The following is a 20,383-nucleotide window of genomic DNA, read 5'->3' as shown; positions in this document are numbered from 1 at the left end:
TGTTCTTTTTTTCAGATGGGAAACGTTCCCCCCAAGGCAAAAACTCCCCTAATATGTATTCTGGAGAATTCGGCCCAGTCAGAGTGTATGAACCTTTCTCCCTCTCAGACCTGAAACAAAATAGACCTAGGTAAATTCTCAGATAACCCTGATGGCTCTAGTTGATGTTTTACAAGGGTTAGGACAATCCTTTGATTTGACATAGATATAATGTTACTGCTACATCAGACACTAACCTCAAATGAGAGAGTTAACCTCAAGTGCCGCCATAACTGCAGCCTGAGATTTTGGCAATCTCTGGTATCTCAGTCAGGTCAATGATAAGATGACAACAGAGGAAAGAGAACAACTCCCCACAGGCCAGCAGGCAGTTCCCAGTGTAGTGGGACGCAGAATCAGAATATGGAGATTGGTGCCGCAGACGTTTGCTAACTTGAGTGTTAGAAGGACTAAGGAAAACTAGGAAGAAACCACTATAACACAGGGAAAGGAAGAAAATCCTACCGCCTTTCTGGAGAGACAAAGGGAGGAGTTGAGGAAGCATACCTCTGTCACCTAACTCTAACGAAGGCCAACTAATCTTAAATGATAAATTTATCACTCAGTCAGCTGCAGACATTAGAAAAAACTTCAAAAGTCTGCGTTAGGCCCGGAGCAAAACTTAGAGACCCTATTGAACTTGGCAAACTTTTTTTTTTTTTTTTAATATATAATAGAGATAAGGAGCAGGCAGAACAGGACAAATGGGATTTAAAAAAAAAAAGCCACCTCTTTAGTCATGACCCTCAGACAAGCAGACTTTGAGGCTCTGGAAAAGGGAAAGGCTAGGAAAATCGAATGCCTAGTAGGGCTTGCTTCCAGTGCAGTCTACAAGGACACTTTAAAAAAGATTCTGAATAGAAATAAGCTGCCCCCTCGTCCATGCCCTTTATGTCAAGGGAATCACTGGAAGGCCCATTGCCCCAGGGGACGAAGGTCCTCTGAGTCAGAAGCCACTAACCAAATGATCCAGCAGCAGGACTGAGGGTGCCTGGGCCAAGTGCCAGCCCATGCCATCAGCCTCCCCAGGTATGCTTGACCACTGAGAGCCAGGAGGTTCTGTCTCCTGGACACTGGCACTGCCTTCTCGGTCTTACTCTCCAGTCCCGGACAACTGTCCTCCAGATCTGTCACTATTAGAGGGGGTCCTAGGACAGGCAGTCACTAGATACTTCTCCCAGCCACTAAGCTGTGACTGGGGAACTTTACTCTTTTCACATGCCTTTCTAATTATTCCTGAAAGCCCCACTCCTTTGGTAGCGAGAGACATCCTAGGAAAAGCAGGGGTCTTATACACCAGAATTAAGAGAAGGAAAAGGGGTAAATATATATACAGACTCTAAGTATGCTTACCTAGTCCTCCATGCCCACGCAGCAATATGGAGAGAAAGGGAATTCCTAACTTCCAAGGGAACACCTATGAAACATCAGGAAACCATTAGTCCCCAAAATTCTCCTTACCTCTGAGTCTACTTCCTCTGATCCCCACCTAAAGATAATTTTATGGGGAAGAGGATTTGCTTGTGTCTGTCCAGGTGACAATCAGATGCCTATGTGGGTGCCCACCAAACATCTGAAGATCTATCATAAGCCACAGCATCTAGTGGACCCACATGTACAGTGAGAATTGCAGGTTTGAAAAGCCTCAATTTGCTTTCTCTATGCCTTCTGTTAATCAAAAAAGGCCTGTTTCTCATTATCATTGGAAAGTTTTACCTCATGGTAATTAACGAAAGAGGCAGAAATGGAGTTAACAAATGCTTCAGCAATGGCATGCCTCCCAGCTACAGCCACAGAAGTTTTTGCTTCTGTTTCAGTAGATTTACTAACATGGGGGTGAGAGTATGCTTGTGTTTTTTACATGAGATGAATGAACCGTGCGGATGTCCTCAAGATGTGTACAACCATGTAACAGGAAACTGGAGGGACCCATGGATCACAACCATGGACTGGGTTCCCCCAGTAGGAGCCATGAGCCAGTTGAATGTGAATACGAAGATGGAACAAGGACCAACTGGAGTCACAATGCTTAATGGACCAATGCTTTCTGACTCAGCACCTCTCTACCCTGAATACAAGAGACCCTAATAGGCAGGAATATCATCGCCCCTATTCAGCAGGAAGGAGTTACAGAAGACGGACCTTCATCCTTCTGCAAACCCCTAGGATTAAGGGTCCTCTTGTAAAAGGGAAAGGGGAGATATGTGGGAAGCATTCAAACCAGAGTGACTCCAGTTTGAATAAGGGCTAAGAAAAATGAAGCTGGATCACCAGCCTGCAATTAAGGGCTGCACAGCCTGCAATCGCCTTGCTCAATTAAAAGGCTACCTTTTATGCTAGTAATAATGATAGCTAGTAATAATGATACCTTCTTTTACAAAAAAGAGAAGGGGGGGCATGTTGGGAAAAAGCTGAGTGTTGGGAGGGAAACTGAGGCAGGGATTGCATAATGTCCTCTGGAATGTGTCTAGACTTGCTGGCTCCTTGCTCCTAGGCTCCTATTCCCATTATCTCAAGTAGCAGAACATGTTCAGTATAAATGCTAAACAATCACAGCTGTAAATCATGTGCTTAATGCAATGTGCCCTTTTGACCTCCACATTCTCACCGTTTCTTTGTTGGATTACCAATAAATACCGTGGGCTCCCAGAACTCGGGGCCTTCGCAGCCTCCACGATAGTGATGGCCCTCTGGTGTTCCACATTTCTCTCTCAAACTGTCTTTTTCTCAATCCTTTGACTGCACCGAACTTTGTCAACCCCACAACCTGGTGTTGGGTCTGATCACCCCAACAAATTGCCACATGTTCCTATCTACTCTGTAATAGCTAAGCTGTGAGTCAAGGTAATTCTTAGTAAAACTCAGAATCTCTTTCTCAGTCTATGAGGAAGTTAAGAAACCTTATATTACAAGTTTGACTTAAACTGGAGCAATAGAACACAAGATGAAAACAAATGAACAAACAAAAGTGGCAGAAAAAAATGTTCTAAGTGCATCCATGAATATATTCCTTAAAACAATAATACATACTGGTTGATCCTGTAACAATAGACAGTTTATACTGACAAAATAAAAATGGCATGTTCCAATTTAAACTGTCATGCTATTTTTTTTGCTCTTACAATTAAGACATTGTCATTGTGTAGAAAGGGGTGGGTGGGAGACAATGATCCCTGGGTCTCTTATGTTTCTGTACATTTTGAGAGCTGTGACACTGATTGCTCATTGCCATTTTTAAAAAAATCCTTATTAAATATGTTTTCAAGAACGTTTAACTGCCTTGAAAGATACAGTATTTCTCTCCATAGCAAAGAGCAAACTTTTCTGAGCTTGACATGTAGTATTAGTGACTTCCTCCAGAACAAAGAAGGCATATTTACTGCCTATTGTAAAAGTGGGTTTCTCTAAGTTTCAGGTCCCTCTCCTATAATGCATCACATTACATGTGCATGTCTCACCTGGCCCTCTTGACATTACTCTGTATGACTGTGGCTGAGGCTATTGTAATTTCTGAATAAGGACCTTTGTATCTGACCCAAGAGTCTTGGCTCTTCTATCAACATCCATGTAATGGTGTCAGGCTAACTTGCTAGCTTTCAAGTACACTGAAAAATCTCAGCTACATCATAGTTCTTTAAATAGGCAGCTGAAACTAGATTCCTATCTCTCACCATATACAAAAATCTGAAGATGGATTAAAGACGTAAATGTGAGACCTAAAACTATAAAAATACTAGAAGAAAACCTAGAAAAAGTTCTTCTAGATATTGGTCTAGGCAAAAATTCAAGACTAAGACAGACCTCAAAAGCAAATGCGACAATAACAAAAATAGACCAATAGGACTTTATCAAACTTAAAAGCTTCTGCACAGCAGAAGAAATAATCAACACAGTGAACAGAAAACCTAGAGAATGGGAGAAAGTATCTGCACACAATGCATCTTACAAAGAACTAATATCCAGAATCTACAAACAACAGGAACAAAAAGTATCCCTATTTAAAAAGTGGACAAAGGACATAAACATTTTTTCACAATAAGACATACACATGGCCAATAAGCATATGAAAAATGCTCTGGCCGGGCACGGTGGCTCACGCCTGTAACCCCAGAACTTTGGGAGGCCGAAATGGGTGGATCACAAGGTGAGGAGTTCAAGACCAACCTGGCTAAGATGGTGAAATCCCATATCTACTAAAAATACAAAAAAATTAGCCAAGCGTGGTGGCAGGCACCTGTAATCCCAGCTACTCAGGAGGCAGAGGCTGAGGCAGGGGAATCACTTGAACCCAGGTGGCAGAGGTTGCAGTGAGCTGAGATCACACCACTGCACTCCAGCCTGGGCGACAGGCTAAGACTCCGTCTCCAAACAGTTATGTGCAGTAGGAAAGGAGTCAAAGCTCCGGCTTCATGTGTAGACTTCCTAGGTTAGAATTCACAGGGGGAAATAGCCCTGCATTTCTGAGCCATTCAGGACCTTCTTCTGCTACTAGGTGTTTGTGTGCTCTTTCGTTAAATAGCTAAGCTGCTCTGCAATGTAGTTTCTTTATGTGAAATGAGGACTTAAAACCACTTTAGTGTTTCATAATTCAAAATATACTACAAAAAAGTAAACTAGTTAAATTCTCCACTACTGACTTAAAGAAGAAATAGGAAAAGTGGGCAAAGCAGGTGAGAATCACTGCATTCAAGAAAAGAAAAAATAGAAATGAGTGGTGGTAAGGCAAAAACCTCTGTCTATTATCCTTGAGAAAAAGTAAAATAGATGATCTCTATAGTCTCTGGTCTTTTAATTCTATGATTCTATAATGAAGGCTTATATAAAGAGTAAACTTTTAAAAATATTTTATGTAAGAAATAGTTTCTCGTATTACCTCCAAAAAATATCTAAGAAGAAAAACCGTGCTTACATGAAAAGCAAAGCAAATTGAATTCGTTAAAATAACTCTAGGGCACCTCTAGGGCACCCAGCATTGAACCCAACATTGTTCCCTGACGAAATGGGTGCAAAGAAGAGAAACTATAAAAATTGTGAAAAAGCATTCACTCACATTAATCTAAGATGGCATCTGCTGTTATTGCTGAAGCTCTGTTGCTATCAGATTCAGGGCTGTATGACCTTGAGAGAAAAAGTACAGAAGTTTCTGCAAGGAAGAAAAAAATGAGTGATATGTTTTCAAATAGTGAATTATGAAAACTTCTTAAATTAGATTCAAAAAAATTCTTAGACATAAGCTTAAATACAATACACTTAGAAAATGAATTAGAATATTATCCCATGAACATATAAACTAATGAACATCATGGAGAAAATTATTTCTCCCAGCTTATGAACCAACTTTTGCCATCAAATAAAAATACATGTTTATACAATTATATTGGCATATATATAATATTTTTAATACGTTTGTGATGCTATACATCTATGAAATTATACAAATGCAGGTTCCTCTCAAATATGTATACATATGTGCAAGACTTTACAAGGTTGATAATACATTATGACATGATTTTAAAACAAGTTAGACTCCTCTAGTAATCCATTTTTGTTGGAGTTTACAGAAAGTGTTCTTGACTGTGATATTATAGATCATAACTTCTTAAAGGGTAAGGTGAACTAACCTCTAAAAATAAAAATGTAAGCCAGAATTGGTAAAGGAGGAAATACCAAACAAACATAATTTTTAAAGTGGAAGAAATTTAAGTGCTGTCTTTTTTTTTTTTTTTTCATCTCCAGCATCACATGAAATGTAAGCCTGAATCCTGACTCTTTAGTTATTTCTCCTGACTGATTTCTATGTAGTCACTGGAACGACTGTTCCGTGTTCTTACTTTTGATTTTCTGACCTGGTTCTAGCTTTCTGTATTCTTCAGGATGCTTTCAGTTTGCTTTCCTATTGTATTCACTAGGGGCACAGCCTGCCACAGACCAAGGTGTTTTTGCATCCTACCTGGAATCTGGAAAATTGAACTCACTAACTGATCACTCCATTTGCTAGTACTTTAAAGGTAGCCTCTTAAACTTTCAGTACACTCTAATCCAATCAGTTCAGGTGATGATGGATCTACCAGAGATGTATGTTCTGCATATTCTCTGAGAGACTGGAGTGACTATACCCTCAAATAATATGAGTTGGGAAACTTAGGTTTCTAAATTTATAACTAACACTATATAGATATAGTTTAATTTAATAACTTACAGGATTACTCTTAAAGGATCAGAGTTAAATTTCCCTTTAGACATTGAAGTTCTTTAGGTACAATATCTGTGACTAGTTCTATCTCTCTTCTTTTTATACCATAAATAAATTAGAGATTGCTTTTTTATCTAAACTTTAAATTAACAACATGCATATATGTGGTATAACGCCACCGATGCCATGAGCATGTTTCCTGAATAGGGACATTCAGTTTCATTCACTGAAGTGCATTTAAGAAGTAGAGCAATGCAGAGGTTAGATTGCTTAGTAACTTATCCAAGTATTATGAGAATTACATTTTTTATTGTGACTCTTGAAGAATACCTGATCCCCAAACTTTCAGAATTTAAAAAATAATTGGGGGCAGAAATATTATTGTGAAAATTCTGTGCCGCTTCAGGCACTTAGTGCAATAACAAAAAGTTATATTTTGAAATGTGCCAAGTGCCTCCACAACATGTACTCTGTGCAATTATGTATCTGTGTATTGTCTAGAACAAAATCAACTGATGTTACCTTGTTGACTCAAGTATCTACAGCTGTTAGTGCACCTTCTGGCATTTTGGAAATCCTCAAATAACAGTGCAGACAGCTGACAAAAAAAGAATGATGAATTAACACTCAGAGGCAAGGATAATAGCAAAGAAAGGGTAGAAGAAAGTTTGAAAAGTTTGCTTGTAAATATAATATGTCTATTAATTTTCCTGGTGCTCTTAACTGAGAAGATTTAAGAGAAATTATCCTCTATCTTAAATATATCTCAATCTAATATTGTTCTTAACAATAAAAAAATTCATTGATTAAACAATACTTATGGAACACACAAATTTTAGTAATAATTCAATATTGATGTTAGGTTGCCTTGAATTAGACAACGTTCTAATCTGGAAATGTCTTGGTATTTTTAATATGAAAAATCCATTAATGTGTCTACAACATAAACACATTCAAGATGTTCTTGTTTGGTAAAACAACCGTTGTAGGATACATACATTCAGTTAAAGCACAATGTTCCTTAAGAGACCTCAGAATTGAAGTATAATTTTAAAAAATAAAATTTATAAAGTGAGTAGTGTTTAAATCTATTGAGTGTAATTTATCATTAATTCTCCTGAAGAACATTCATTTTGGTTTTCTGATTTTCTGTTTATTATTAACTATTATATTTAAAATAAAAAGCATCATCAGCCCTCAGTCAAGAAGAAATTATTTTTCTGAAAAATTAGAATAGGATTAACACTTCCCTGATATGAAGATACATTGAAATTATAACATTAAATATAATAAAAGCAAAGTTATATTGATACAGATTTGAATGCATCTTGATATATGCTTATGTCCACACTACTTCAAGTTATATCTCTTTAAACTTGTCTGCTATTCTTTTAAAAATGTGTATTTACCCTCTTTTGCACTTAATATAGCCTTTTGTTTTAATAATGTTTCATGTTTTATTTTAACAAATATTTTGTTCTACTGCTTGCAAAAACTTTTTTCTATATTCTAACTTTCTTACACAGAAGAAATATATAATCTTCATTTATATATTGCATAAATTCTTCCAGGTCATTGAGGTTATCTCATATGGCAATGAATATCCTTTATAAATACTGAGTTGAAATCAGTTGCTAACGGAGAAATTTGGTGACTTAGACCAAATCTAAGCTAGGTAGGGTAAGGCCTTAAAAATATGCATAACTATCATGGAGTAGTCATTTAAAGAGAAATAGTAGTAACTTTAGGAGATAACAGTTTAAAGTAACTTCAGAGATACTTTCTACTTACTACTTTCTAGATGAGCTATAAGATCCAAGTTGGTCACTAAACTAAACTCACACTTGACAAGAAGGAAAAGTAGAGAAATGGTAACTGTGAAACACATATAAATGTTATAGCTTTTTCTACTATATTAAGAAATCAGTGTTAATTGCTTATAAAAACTTATCTTCCTAGGGTACACAGGAAAGTTAACATTACCAAGAGTTATCATTGCTATCCGATATCATAAAACTGCTTTCCACTAGAGAAACATACATCAGCAGAAGAAATATTGTTTGGTAGATATTGCTAGAGGCAGAGCTGACTTAAGCACCTCACCGTGTCAAGTAGACCACTTCCTCCAAAAACTGATTGCATGAGTGTCATAATACTATGGAGAACACACTATTTTTTCTCATTGTTAAGACAGTCACAATTCTAGAAAATGGCAGTGTTTCAGCAAGAAAGGTAAATATAAAGCAAAACTCAAAATGCCAACAGTTTTTTGGTACAGTCTAGCCTCATTAAAAATGTATTTAATGAAGTCTTATAAAAAATTTACAAAGGTATATGCTACATAAAACTTAAAAGAAAAGAAATAAGGCCAAAAACAAAGCAGTGTTTTGGAAATGCTGCAGATGAACTTTTTATTCCTCATAATCAGCTTCTCCCGTATTATAATTCTCATGTTATAGAAAAATGAGAGGCACAGAAAGAACAATAAATTTTCTAAGATAACATAGCTAGCAAATTGTAAAAAATATTTCTTAATTCAGAGCCTCTGCATTTAATAAAATTCCAGACATTATAGCTTATTCAATCCTCATGAATAAGGTCAAATTATAATTAATAGTGATTATTAACTATGCAATTATTACAGGGATTTCACCTTGCAGCTAAGAATCTTCTTAAACTCTTACGAACTTTTATTTGTTAAATAACTTGCACTTATGAAATACACATGTGACATACAAAACATCTATGACCACATTAATGAAAGTATTTATTTCTGAGAAAAGTTATTACATAGTAATTATTTTTTACTTATTAGAGGTGGCACATTAATTTATATAGGTCAAACTGACAGCAGAGTTGTCATGTGTATTTTATAGTTATTTGGTTTTTGCATATACTAATATTTATGTAACATACTTCTCTAAATTATAAAAATGTATAGGCAATGCATTAGGAATAAATAAAGAACAACTCTTTAATGTCAGGGGAAGTATGTTCTCATTCAGGATTTCATAAAATTTACCATGAGACCTTGAACAATTTATTTAGTACATATTATGCTTTTACTTAATCCATAGGGAATATAAACAGTTTGACCTAAATTGTACCAAGATTCAGTTTGCAAATCAAAATGTACATGATTTTGACATATTTTAGTATATTCTTAATGATTTTTTTCATCTAACAATTTTAAACTTCTTTAAACACACACACACACACACACACATCTTATTTGATCCATGGTTTTAGTAAGAAAAATAAATTTGCATAAATTGTATTTTTCATGAAAAATATAACAAAATTTACAACCTAGCTTATACATTATAAATACCTTGTGGCCAGTTTGAGGACTTGTTGTTCTATGCAAATTGTCCCTCCTATGTCATTCAAAGTTTTATATAAAATCCTGTTATTCATCGATGAAGCAGAATTTCACTTCCTGAGAAAAATCAACACAGTGAAAAGACAGTAGCTTTGGAGCCAAGCATATATGGGTTTATACCACAGCTATATCACTGGCAATTCTCCAGGCTTGGGCGAGTGCCCTGACACCACATTTCAACTATGTTGTTCTTGCTGTTATTTTGCCTGAACTTTATACCAACTTTGCACCATTTTTCTGAGGAGTGTATGACAGCATCTCAAAAGAAAAGTAGCTTTAATGACAATTTTCTAAATTTTTGTTTTGAAGGGATAAGAAGCATGGAGAAAAAGTATAACCAAAGGATATGTTTTATTTATTCAAATTTTCAATAACAGCAGTGTTCTAAAGTACACCATATTTAAAATAGGGTTAATGAGATTAATGAAGTATACGTAGATGAATGAGGAATTGATTTAGGATATGAAGATGGGAACAAAGATTATAGGTATATTCTTATTGTAGCATCTAAATAAATGGCAACATTTCCCCTTTGTCCCATTCTGTGACCAGTTTCTTATGAATATTTTTCTCAGCAGAGTAGAAATTATATTAAAGTGAAAACTTCTAAGTTTGTAGATAACATAGACTTCTTCCTAGTAATGAAGTATCAAAATAACTAAGATGTAATAAATATTAGCACTTTACATATATTATCCAAATTGTTGTAAAGTATTTTTCACTTACCTTATATATTATATTTATATTTATTTATTTACAAATATATACCTCTTATAGTTACATATGCACATTTGTAAAATATATAAGCAGATATACTTCTAAGGATATATTACTTAAAAACATGCATATATATAATGCTGATAAAATATGTATGAATATATTTATATTTCCTTATATAAATTTTTATATTTTAATTAGCTATAACTAAACATATTTATTAGATATATTAAATCTAATTACAGTTCAAAATTAGAATGAAATAAATATAAACACTTCACATATGGTAACAAACTTATTATAAAATAGATAAATACTTTAATTACATAAACTGATTTATTCTTCAAAACAACTATGGGTTCCTCTGGGAGGGTTCATAGAATAAGGGAACTCAGGGCAGAAAACTTGTGACTTTTCCAAGATCACATAGCTTGTAGGTAGCAGAGCTGTGATTTCATCTGAGGAATATAGCTTTAGGGTATAGTCTCATATGCTCCACACTTTTTGTCTTTGAACAATTAATATTTAATAAATTGTGAAACTTAAAGTTGAGGAAACCTAAAATATAAATGTAATAATACTATTTTTCCATGAGATTTGTGAAGGAGGATTTGAAATGATATGGCACTTGATTGCAAATCTGAACCTCTGTTCTATCAGAAGTTTTAGAAATTACACTTAAATTCTCCTAGCTTTGGATTTCTCAAATGAAAACATGTAATCATATAAATATCATGCATATGTTGGACAATTACATGAAAAAATCTAAGTAGCTTGAGCAACTCATGGTTCCTGGTAATTGATAGAAAACAGAATAAGACAGAAAGAGAAACTCTGGTAAAGCTTCCTCTTATCAAAAAAAACCTTGACAAAAGTAAAATCCTGATATTAAATGCAAATAATTTGATCCCTTTTATAAACTATAGCGCATCCTTATTGGAATACTAATCTGATTTTAAAAAACTTAGTTATTTAAAATTATAAAAGTTGTATATGTAGCATAATCAATAGACTTTATGTACTCCAATGCATATTTCACTTGTCCTGTAGCCCACTAGTACCCCCTTTCACGTTCAATATTCTCCAAGTGTAAATGATAAGCAATATTTCCACCTTGGGTATAGAGGAGCAGAAAGACACTGTAACTGCTTTTTGAGGAGAGGCTAAAAGTATTAAAATTGTTTGTCTAATAAAACTAAGCCTTTTGAAATTATGACTGCTGAGTCTTTAATAAACTAATGGGGGATGTGGATAGGATTAGCAAGGCATAGTCATCCAACCAAAAATACATTAAAATTAGAAGCACCCATTGAAGCATGAAAGAGTTCAATTTGGGGCAAATAAGAAGCACAGAACAAATAATTTCTCAGAGCTGCCAAATTAGATAATATAAGGATTAAGCACCAAAGTCTATGCATTTTACTCATAGAAGAGCTCCTTAGACTCTCATTCAGATATTTCTGACCTTCCCAGGAAAATAATGCCAAAAAGTTTGTCTATCTAGTTTATTCTGATTCCACAGCAGATTTGAGCAATTCATTTAAAACAAAACCAATTTAACTGCAGTATCGTTAAGAATATATGGAGGTACAAGATACCGATTTAAAGAATGTTCCAAAATTATATATATGAATGAACTATAGCATTTAAACCAACCCTTACAAAATCAACTTTTATATATATATATATATATATATATATATATATATAAATTTTTTTTTTTTTTTTTTTTTTTTTTTTTTTTGGAGACGGAGTCTGGCTCTTGCCCAGGCTGGACTGCGTGGTGCGATCTCGGCTCACTGCAAGCTCCGCCTCCCAGGTTCACGCCATTCTCCTGCCTCAGCCTCCGGAGTAGCTGGGACTACAGGCGCCCGCCACCACTCCCAGCTAATTTTTTGTATTTTTAGTAGAGACGGGGTTTCACCGTGTTAGCCAGGATGGTCTCGATCTCCTGACCTCGTCGTGATCCGCCCGCCTTGGCCTCCCAAAGTGCTGGGATTACAGGCGTGAGCCACCGCGCCCGGCTATTCTTAATTTTAAATAAAATTCCTAAAGTTTAATAAAGTTAAGTAATACTGTAAAAGTTTTTACTTGGGTGTCAAGCCACTTTCCTGAAGTCAAGACCTATTTTAGGATATGAAGTTCTAAGCTTCTACTATCAATAGTTTTGACTAAAGAAGTAAAATTTCCAAAGACCCTAGTACAAATCAATACTAAAAGCACATACAAGGCTATTTATGACAGCTCTGAGGACTGACAGTGGAAGTAGTTTGCCCAGGATTTAAGTTCTTTAAGAACAACATTATTATCATAGTTATTTGAGATAATCTTTGATATTTAATTATATTTTTCTTTTACAATAATATTTTTCATGCTTAATTTTATCTTGCTCCAAAACATAATCATCAATAATGCTCTGCAACAATGATTGTTTTCTTGAATATCCCTACTATAGCATTGTGCTCATTTTACACAATGATAATAAGCACAATAAAAACTGTGGTTTCTGATTAAAATTTCAGAGTAATAGAAATAAAAAATAAATGACTCAAGACAACAGAAATTAATGTGTAAATTGCTTCTCTAAACTAAACTCCTGTGTAAATTGCTTCTCTAACCCAATAGTCACTCTGAGCATTAATATTAAAAATCACTGAAGAACATTTTTCCCTTCTATAGTTCAAAATCCATCAGTAATACCCCAGGAGCAAGAAGCAGACCCAGTGCCCAGACCTTTATTATGCAGCAGGAGAAGGAGTCCAGGATCTTTGCAGAGTTCATTGATTCTGGTGCTGGAGAAAGAAAAGAAAACAGGGGAATGTCAAAAGTGCATAGGGAACTAACCTGAAAATTTTCCCCACAGCAAACTTACAATACCTTGACAAACAAAATCAATAATGATAACATTGAATTATAACCTAAAGAATAAAATAAGCACTCATGATTCCCTGCTGATGAAAGAAAGAGTGGAAGAAAGAAAGACACAACTCTTTAGAGAAGAGACCCAATTAAAATTGTAGAAAGTATGAGGGATAGAAAATCACCAATGGAATTCCAAAATGAGAATTATAAACTATATTATAAAAGAAAACTAGTAAATGTACAGTGTATAATTTTAGCAGATACTGTTTTAACTAATTGCTCAAGGTCAATACCATAAACAATGCCTGGGTTAACACCATGTAACTCCCTGATTTATGCACGGAGAAGGGCAAACCAGTTTTGTGGTGTCCTTTCCAATCTGATCATTAAAAAGTCAGAGAAACAAAACTTAAGAAACATTCTATACATAAATGACCTGACTGCTAAAAAATATCAAGATCATAAAATGTAATGGAACACTGAATTTTGTCACAGATTGGAGAAAACTATTAGATTCCCTAAGCTGCTGTAAAAAAAAAAAAAAAAAAAAAAAAACCACAAATTTAGTAGCTTAACGCAAGTTTAATGTCTTACTCTTCTGTACGTCAGAAGTTTGACATGGTTCTCATGGGCTAAAAGAAGGTGTTAGCGGGGCTGTGTTTCTTTATATAGGTTCTGGGATAAAATATAGTTCCTTGGCTGTTCTAGCTTCCAGTGGATGACTAACCTTTTTTGGTTTGACCCATTTTCCTTATCTTTCATGCAAACAACTTCACAACTCTCTCACCTGTCTTCTATCTTCACATCGATCTGTGACTACGCCCAGGAACAATTTTCTGTTTTTAAGGATTCATGCAATAAGAAAGAACCCACCTGGAAAATAAAGAATAATTTGCCTAACTCAGCACCTATACCTTTAATCACATCTGCAAAGTCTATTACCATGTCAAGTAAAATATTCACAGGTATTGGGGATTAAAGAACAACATCTTGGGGAAGAAGAGAGGACGAGCTTAATTCTACTTATCACAGGAAGATGAGAAATAAAACAATCCTAGATTAGATTCCAAATCAGAAAATGAATATTAATGGTGAAATCCAAATAAATTCTGCTGTTCAGTTCATCATACCATATGATAAGGTTTGGCTGTGTCTCCTCCCAAATCTCAGCTTGAATTGTAGTTCCCATAATCCCCAGGTGTTGTGGGAGGGTCCCAGTAGGAGGTAATTGAATCATGGGGGTGGTTACCCTCATACTATTTTCATGATAGTGAATGAGTTCTCCTGAGATTTGATGGTTTTATAAGGGGTTTTCCCCCCACCGCTAACTCTTTTGCCCACAATCTTCTCCTTCCTGCTGCCTTGTGAAGAAGGATGTGTTTGCTTCCCCTTCCACCATGCTTGTAAGTTTTCTGAGGCATACCTAGCCATGCCAAACTGTGAGGCAATTAAACCTCTTTCCTTTATAAATTACCCAGGTATGTCCTTATAGCAGCATGAGAACAGACTAATACACCATACCAATGTTAATCTCTGAATTTTGATAATTTTTCTGTAAGTCTAAAATCTCAAAGTAACAAGTTAGACAAGGAAGTGCAGATACTGGTTGCCTGGTGCAAGAAATAGGGAAGAGGTGAGAGAATGAGAATTAACAGTTAATGGACAAGATTATTGAGGTTACAAAATGTTTTAAAAGACTTTTATGATAAGTATTGAATTGTACACATGACATTAATGAATTTTATGATATGCCTCAAAATTTGTATATGTTTTACAAAGTATAGGGTATGTCTAGTTTATTTTTTAGTCTTTTCAAAGCCAATTTTTAAAAGATTAAATTAACATATAGACTATTGTTAGTACCATTTTTGCTTGAAAAATTAAATAGAATGGAAAACACTATCTCCCCTTACATCCTTAGGTATACACACTTGTGTGACTTTTAAAGACATGTGGCGTATTCTTTGGTATTGAAACTCTTCAAAAAAAATCAGTCTATTCCCTTTGAATAGTACAAATCTTTCTTGTGAAATCTATTGAATTGCCCTAGAGAGTCAAGCAGTAATTACATAGCATAATTTATGCCCATATTACACCTTTAATTAATAAAGAAATATTACAGAATTATGCAGAAAATCTACCAAAATCATGTTCATAAAAATGATAGTACTATACTAAATTTATTTTAAGACCATCTTCAATAACCTAGAGTTTTATTTAGGGTAATAACTTAAACTATATTTTTAAATATAGTTACTCTAGATGACAATTGACAATTATAATTCAATATAAATTATTTTAAATTTTCACTTAAAATGATCAAAGTGACTGTCCCTCTTTTAGCAGTATCATGTGTTTATGTATTATGTGCTTATGTGTAACAGTACTATGTGTACACTGTTCATGTAGCCTGGCACATGACAGTATTATGAGCTTATATGTAGGCTAGTCATGTCTATATTTCCTTTATATTTAAAATTATTGATTTCTATTTAAATATTTTGGTATGTGGAATTTGAATTTCTGTAAGTAAACAAGGTAAAATTCATTAGAAATTTGGTGAAATATTTCCTAAATTATATCAACTGCAAATATGTGACTTCTTTCTTAGTGCTCTATAACTTTTTATTTTAACTTGAAAAAGAAATATCTTTTAAAAGCACTTCAAGTGATACTTTTTCAATGTCAAAAGAAAAAATATATTACTACTAAATAGAGATTTCTACTGGGAGAGTGGTGATTGGGTTTATGGATTTTTGGTATGGTGACTTCTTCCTTTATATTTGAGTCCATGAGAGGCATATAAAAAGTGTTTTACCATGAGGGTCTTGAGTGTCACCAATTAAGATACAATTCTAGGCTTACCACCCCATCAGTCATTAGTTATTGGTATCGTTCAGGACATTTAATCTTTCTTTAACTCAGTTTCTTCATTTGTACAAAATATAGTGATCTAAAATGAAATAATGAAAAAAGAAGAATTAATCTCAAACAGTATTTTTAAAATATTAAGAACAAATCTAATTATCTCTAAAATAAGCCACTTGTTTATTCAAGGATCTCTAACAAAAATTTAACTAAAATTTTCCAGCACTCATTTGATATGAAAATAATAGTTTTATTGACATGCCTATATTGTAAGAACTTTGTGCATAATCATATATATTTCTTTGAATCTTCCAAAACAGGGCTGCTTTTTCAGGTTCACACCTGCTAAGTTACAGTTAATCTGTCTAGCAAGTGCTGATAAATAAAATGCTCAAACTGGAATTATTATATGATTTGTTATGTTTTATTAGGCAACAATCAGATGCAAACTCCAATTAAGTGTTGCTTATTCAATATTAAAAATAAATTTTGTCTAAAGATAAAAGACTAGCTATAGGAGAGGGCATAATAGCTATTTTACCACAATACTCAAATATTTGGAAAACAAAGAAAAATTGTTTGCTCAGCTCTGGAACTGTATAAACTTAATCATTTATTTTAAGATGTATTTCTCTTAGCTTTATAATACTATAGCATTAGTGACTACTTGCCTGAAATATTATCATTGGGGAATATGAAAGAATGTTTCAAGTCTTTGTAAATACCTCTTTTCACACTTGAGACAACTGTTTTGGTGGCCTTCAGTCAAATGACCTGTAAGAACACAAAATAGGGGGGAAACATGCTTATCTTGCAACTAAGAGATTTTAGCATTTATTTCCTAAAATGAAGAAACGTTGAATGTCACCACATTTGCAACTTTGATTTGTATTAATTTCATATTCAAGTGTGGACATTGTATTATGCTAAACCATATTAAATAAAATATTATTACAAAATATGTGACAAAAACTATGGGGAAATATTATATTTCATATAATATAGTTCAAATAAATATTTACATATATTCCGATTAAAGCACTCAAGAATGGACAGTCTAACCATTCTAAGGTCTGTATTTCTTACTCATGCTATTTACAGAATGTATAATGCCTTATATATGATATTAAAGTCTCAAAGCAAAGTTTTTTTATTCTGTAAATAATTCAAAGGAGTTTCTTTAAACAAAGAAAATTCATGGTCTTCTGTTTTTAATAAAATTAAAATTGTCTTAAAATGAGAAAAAATATAAACTTAGCTATATTATTATTTTCATTAAAATGTTTCCTTTTAGAATTGTGTCTATACCTACTCTTCACTTAACATAATCCAAAAGATATGATTAAAAGGTGTTACATCTATGCCAAAAAATATTTATGGTCCACCATTTTATGCCACTTGCATCCTAAAACTTTGCCTACCACAATCTTTTGCATGATGTTTGTAAGACACGAGACTTATGAATCAAGGATTAAAAATGTTATAAGTCACAGATCAGTCAGCTTCATGAGCATTAGCATCTGTGTTGCCTTCCCTAGATCCCAAGTCCCGAGGAAACAACACAATATGGGCCCACATGTACTGCACTTGCAGTAAGTTAGCTTAAAAGAAAGGAACTCCGAATGTCCTGTACTGGGCAATGAGCATGACTGCCCCTCTTTTCAGGAAGAATATATTATCTTTACAATACTATATAGTCAGCATGACTGGACTTGGTTCTAGAGAGAGACACTAATCTTGTAAGAATGTATGCTGTAAAAACATTCATAAAAAGATTGTCCACTGCTAAGGATATCAAGTTACTTGCTTGAAAGCTATACAAACACAAGAAATCCAAAGAGATTCCTACCTTGATTTAATAACTTTTTGGCTTATGCATCTTTTACATGAGTATACCACTCTACCATCTACTCTAATTAATCTAACTTAGAAAGGCTGGGACCATATCTATTTAATTTGTGCCATACAGCATTCAACTAACACTGCTTTCAATAGGTTTCCATACAGGAAGATGAAACCAACCTACAATACTGACCTCAGCAATGCCTCACCCACTGAGTTCCACATCTAGCCGGATCCAAGAAAAAAAAAATTCCCATAAACTATTTCACAGACTTCAACTTGGTTTGTGAGAACAAAAAGTAGAGAAATTACATAATTCATAACAACCCTGGCCAGAGAGTTGAGACTGATCTAAATCACTTTGGGGACTGAAGAGGTGTTACTGATCACTTCAGCTAACGTCAGAAAGAATCTTTCTACTGTCTTTTCTAATTTGATGACTCCCATTGTAGAGATAATTTCCCAAATGGTAAGCATAAGTAATCAGTCACTTATCCTACAAGAAACCTCCCACAAAGACCATTAGAAGCCTCATTTGGGGGAGGAATATGTAGTCATCTGAGGGCTACATGATCTACTGCTTGTGCTTCTTTAAACTCCTATAGCAACCTCTTTGGTTTAAGGTTATGTTTCCAGGAAAGAGGCAAGCAAATTGCTTTATTTTTACATAAGATGTTCAGTCCTAGGTCACATATGGTGACCTTGGAAACATTACGTTGAGCATAACAATTGAGTCTTCCCAGATGAGACCTATATCAGTCAATGATTCCAATGTGATTTTCCAGATAGCTAGCTGGTCTTTAAATTCCTAGTTCAGTTTAAAGTATTGAATATCAACATAGTTCAATTAGAAGACACGTATCCAAGACTGTCCTTTCTGTCTACTCCATCACCCAGGTTGCATTCATCTGCTACACAGAACAATTGAGAAATGGCTATGGAATTGCATGTGCAAAAGTCATCCATAATTGCTGCTATGTGTTTGTCTGGGAGGGACAGTATCAGGGTCCTCCTCCTGATGTTTCCAGAAGACTTCTTGGTAATATTGATGGATATGTTGATCAAATTATGATCAGAATCATTTGGCAGGGTGATGCAGACCTAAAAGTCAGGTTAAATTAAGGTTTGTTTTCTAATTTTTTTTTTTTGAGATGGAGTCTTGCTCTGTTGCCCAGGCTGGAGTGCAATGGCATGGTCTCAGCTCACTGCAACCTCCGTCTCCCAGGTCCAAGTGATTCTCCTGCCTCAGCCTCCTGAGTAGCTGGGACTAGAGGTGTGTGCCACCACACCTGGCTAATTTTTGTATTTTTAGTAGAGATGGGGTTTCACTATATTGGCCAGGTTGGTCTTGAACTCCTGACCTCGTGATCCACACGCCTCAGCCTCCCAAAGTGCTGGGATTACAGGCCTGAGCCACTGCGCCCAGCCAAATTAAGGTGTTTATAATATTTAAAGGAGCACATCGGATTCATTCTCTTTGAGAGAAAAGATTAAGGGGCAGGTCTGGAAGACAAGATCATTAATGTCCCTCTTTCTCCTGTGTTTCTCAAGGTCTGAAGAGTTTCCTTCACAAGTGCCTAAGGTTGTTGCTGTTTTTCCACTATGACAGAAATGATGTGTTCTATTCAAGTAACTATAACTTAATTTTTTCACTAAATATCACATAATCACACCTGGACTTGTCATTTAGAGGGATTGGGTGCAAGAAGTACAAGCACAGTTGTATAATAAAACTTACAGAAATCCATTATTTCCACAACCATTTTCCTCTTGAGCCAGATTTGGTCGACTTAGTAAACACAGTATACAACCAAGTACTCAATCATTATTTTTCATAACTGAAATCATGTCAGTCAAACTAGTGAATGCAGATGCTTTAAACAAAATTAAATTAAACATCTTAGATCCCATTTTCACTGGGCTGTCACTTTCAAGCTGCACCAACCTGATGCTCTGGGTGTGGTGCTATGTGAGAAAAAATAGTATGTCTAGGAACGATAAAGATTAAATCCTGAACATTCAAAAATATTTTAAGAAAACTCCATAGTTTAAAAAAATTGTTTTTCAGGAAGTGGTTAAGAGAAGAAGATTTTTTGCTTGTGTCAACTATATACATACAGCAAATTGGCTTATTAAGATGTTTGGCCCTGGAGGAAGTAAGAGAGACAGGGTTAGAAATTTTTTTTTAATTGACATTTGTGTAGGTCCAAAAAAATAGAATGATGGTAGTGTTACAAATGCTTGTTCCCCGGTGCCACAAAGAAATAGCACCTGAACATAAATTTAATTTTCTCATCAAGACCATTTTTACTTTCTGCAGAAAGGGTACACTTGCCAGCAGTTTTGCCATGAGAGTACACTGAACAAAGGAGACAGGGTTGTTCATAACCTGACGTGTCCACCCCACTGCTGTGTCCAGTTTCCATTGGCTGAAACGGGACCTCACATTCTGTATTTGTCCTGATTGGCTAGCAACTTAG

At 34.7% G+C, this 20,383-nt stretch overlaps 1 long non-coding RNA gene across 1 annotated transcript; it reads right to left on the bottom strand.

Moving 5' to 3' along the window:
- Nucleotides 1-5,095: 5,095 nt before the first annotated feature.
- On the bottom strand, nucleotides 5,096-16,138 carry LOC105370239 (uncharacterized). The gene is made up of 6 exons (XR_942029.1): nucleotides 16,059-16,138; nucleotides 13,981-14,066; nucleotides 13,065-13,123; nucleotides 9,564-9,671; nucleotides 6,755-6,830; nucleotides 5,096-5,182 (listed from the first exon to the last, which is right to left on the bottom strand). It is a non-coding gene; the product is annotated as an uncharacterized LOC105370239 (long non-coding RNA).
- Between the last annotated feature and the right edge of the window lie 4,245 nt (nucleotides 16,139-20,383).

The sequence above is a fragment of the Homo sapiens genome, chromosome 13 (assembly GCF_000001405.40).
Source record: "Homo sapiens chromosome 13, GRCh38.p14 Primary Assembly".
Classification (NCBI taxonomy): domain Eukaryota; kingdom Metazoa; phylum Chordata; class Mammalia; order Primates; family Hominidae; genus Homo; species Homo sapiens.
This window is presented reverse-complemented; position numbering and strand designations above follow the sequence as displayed.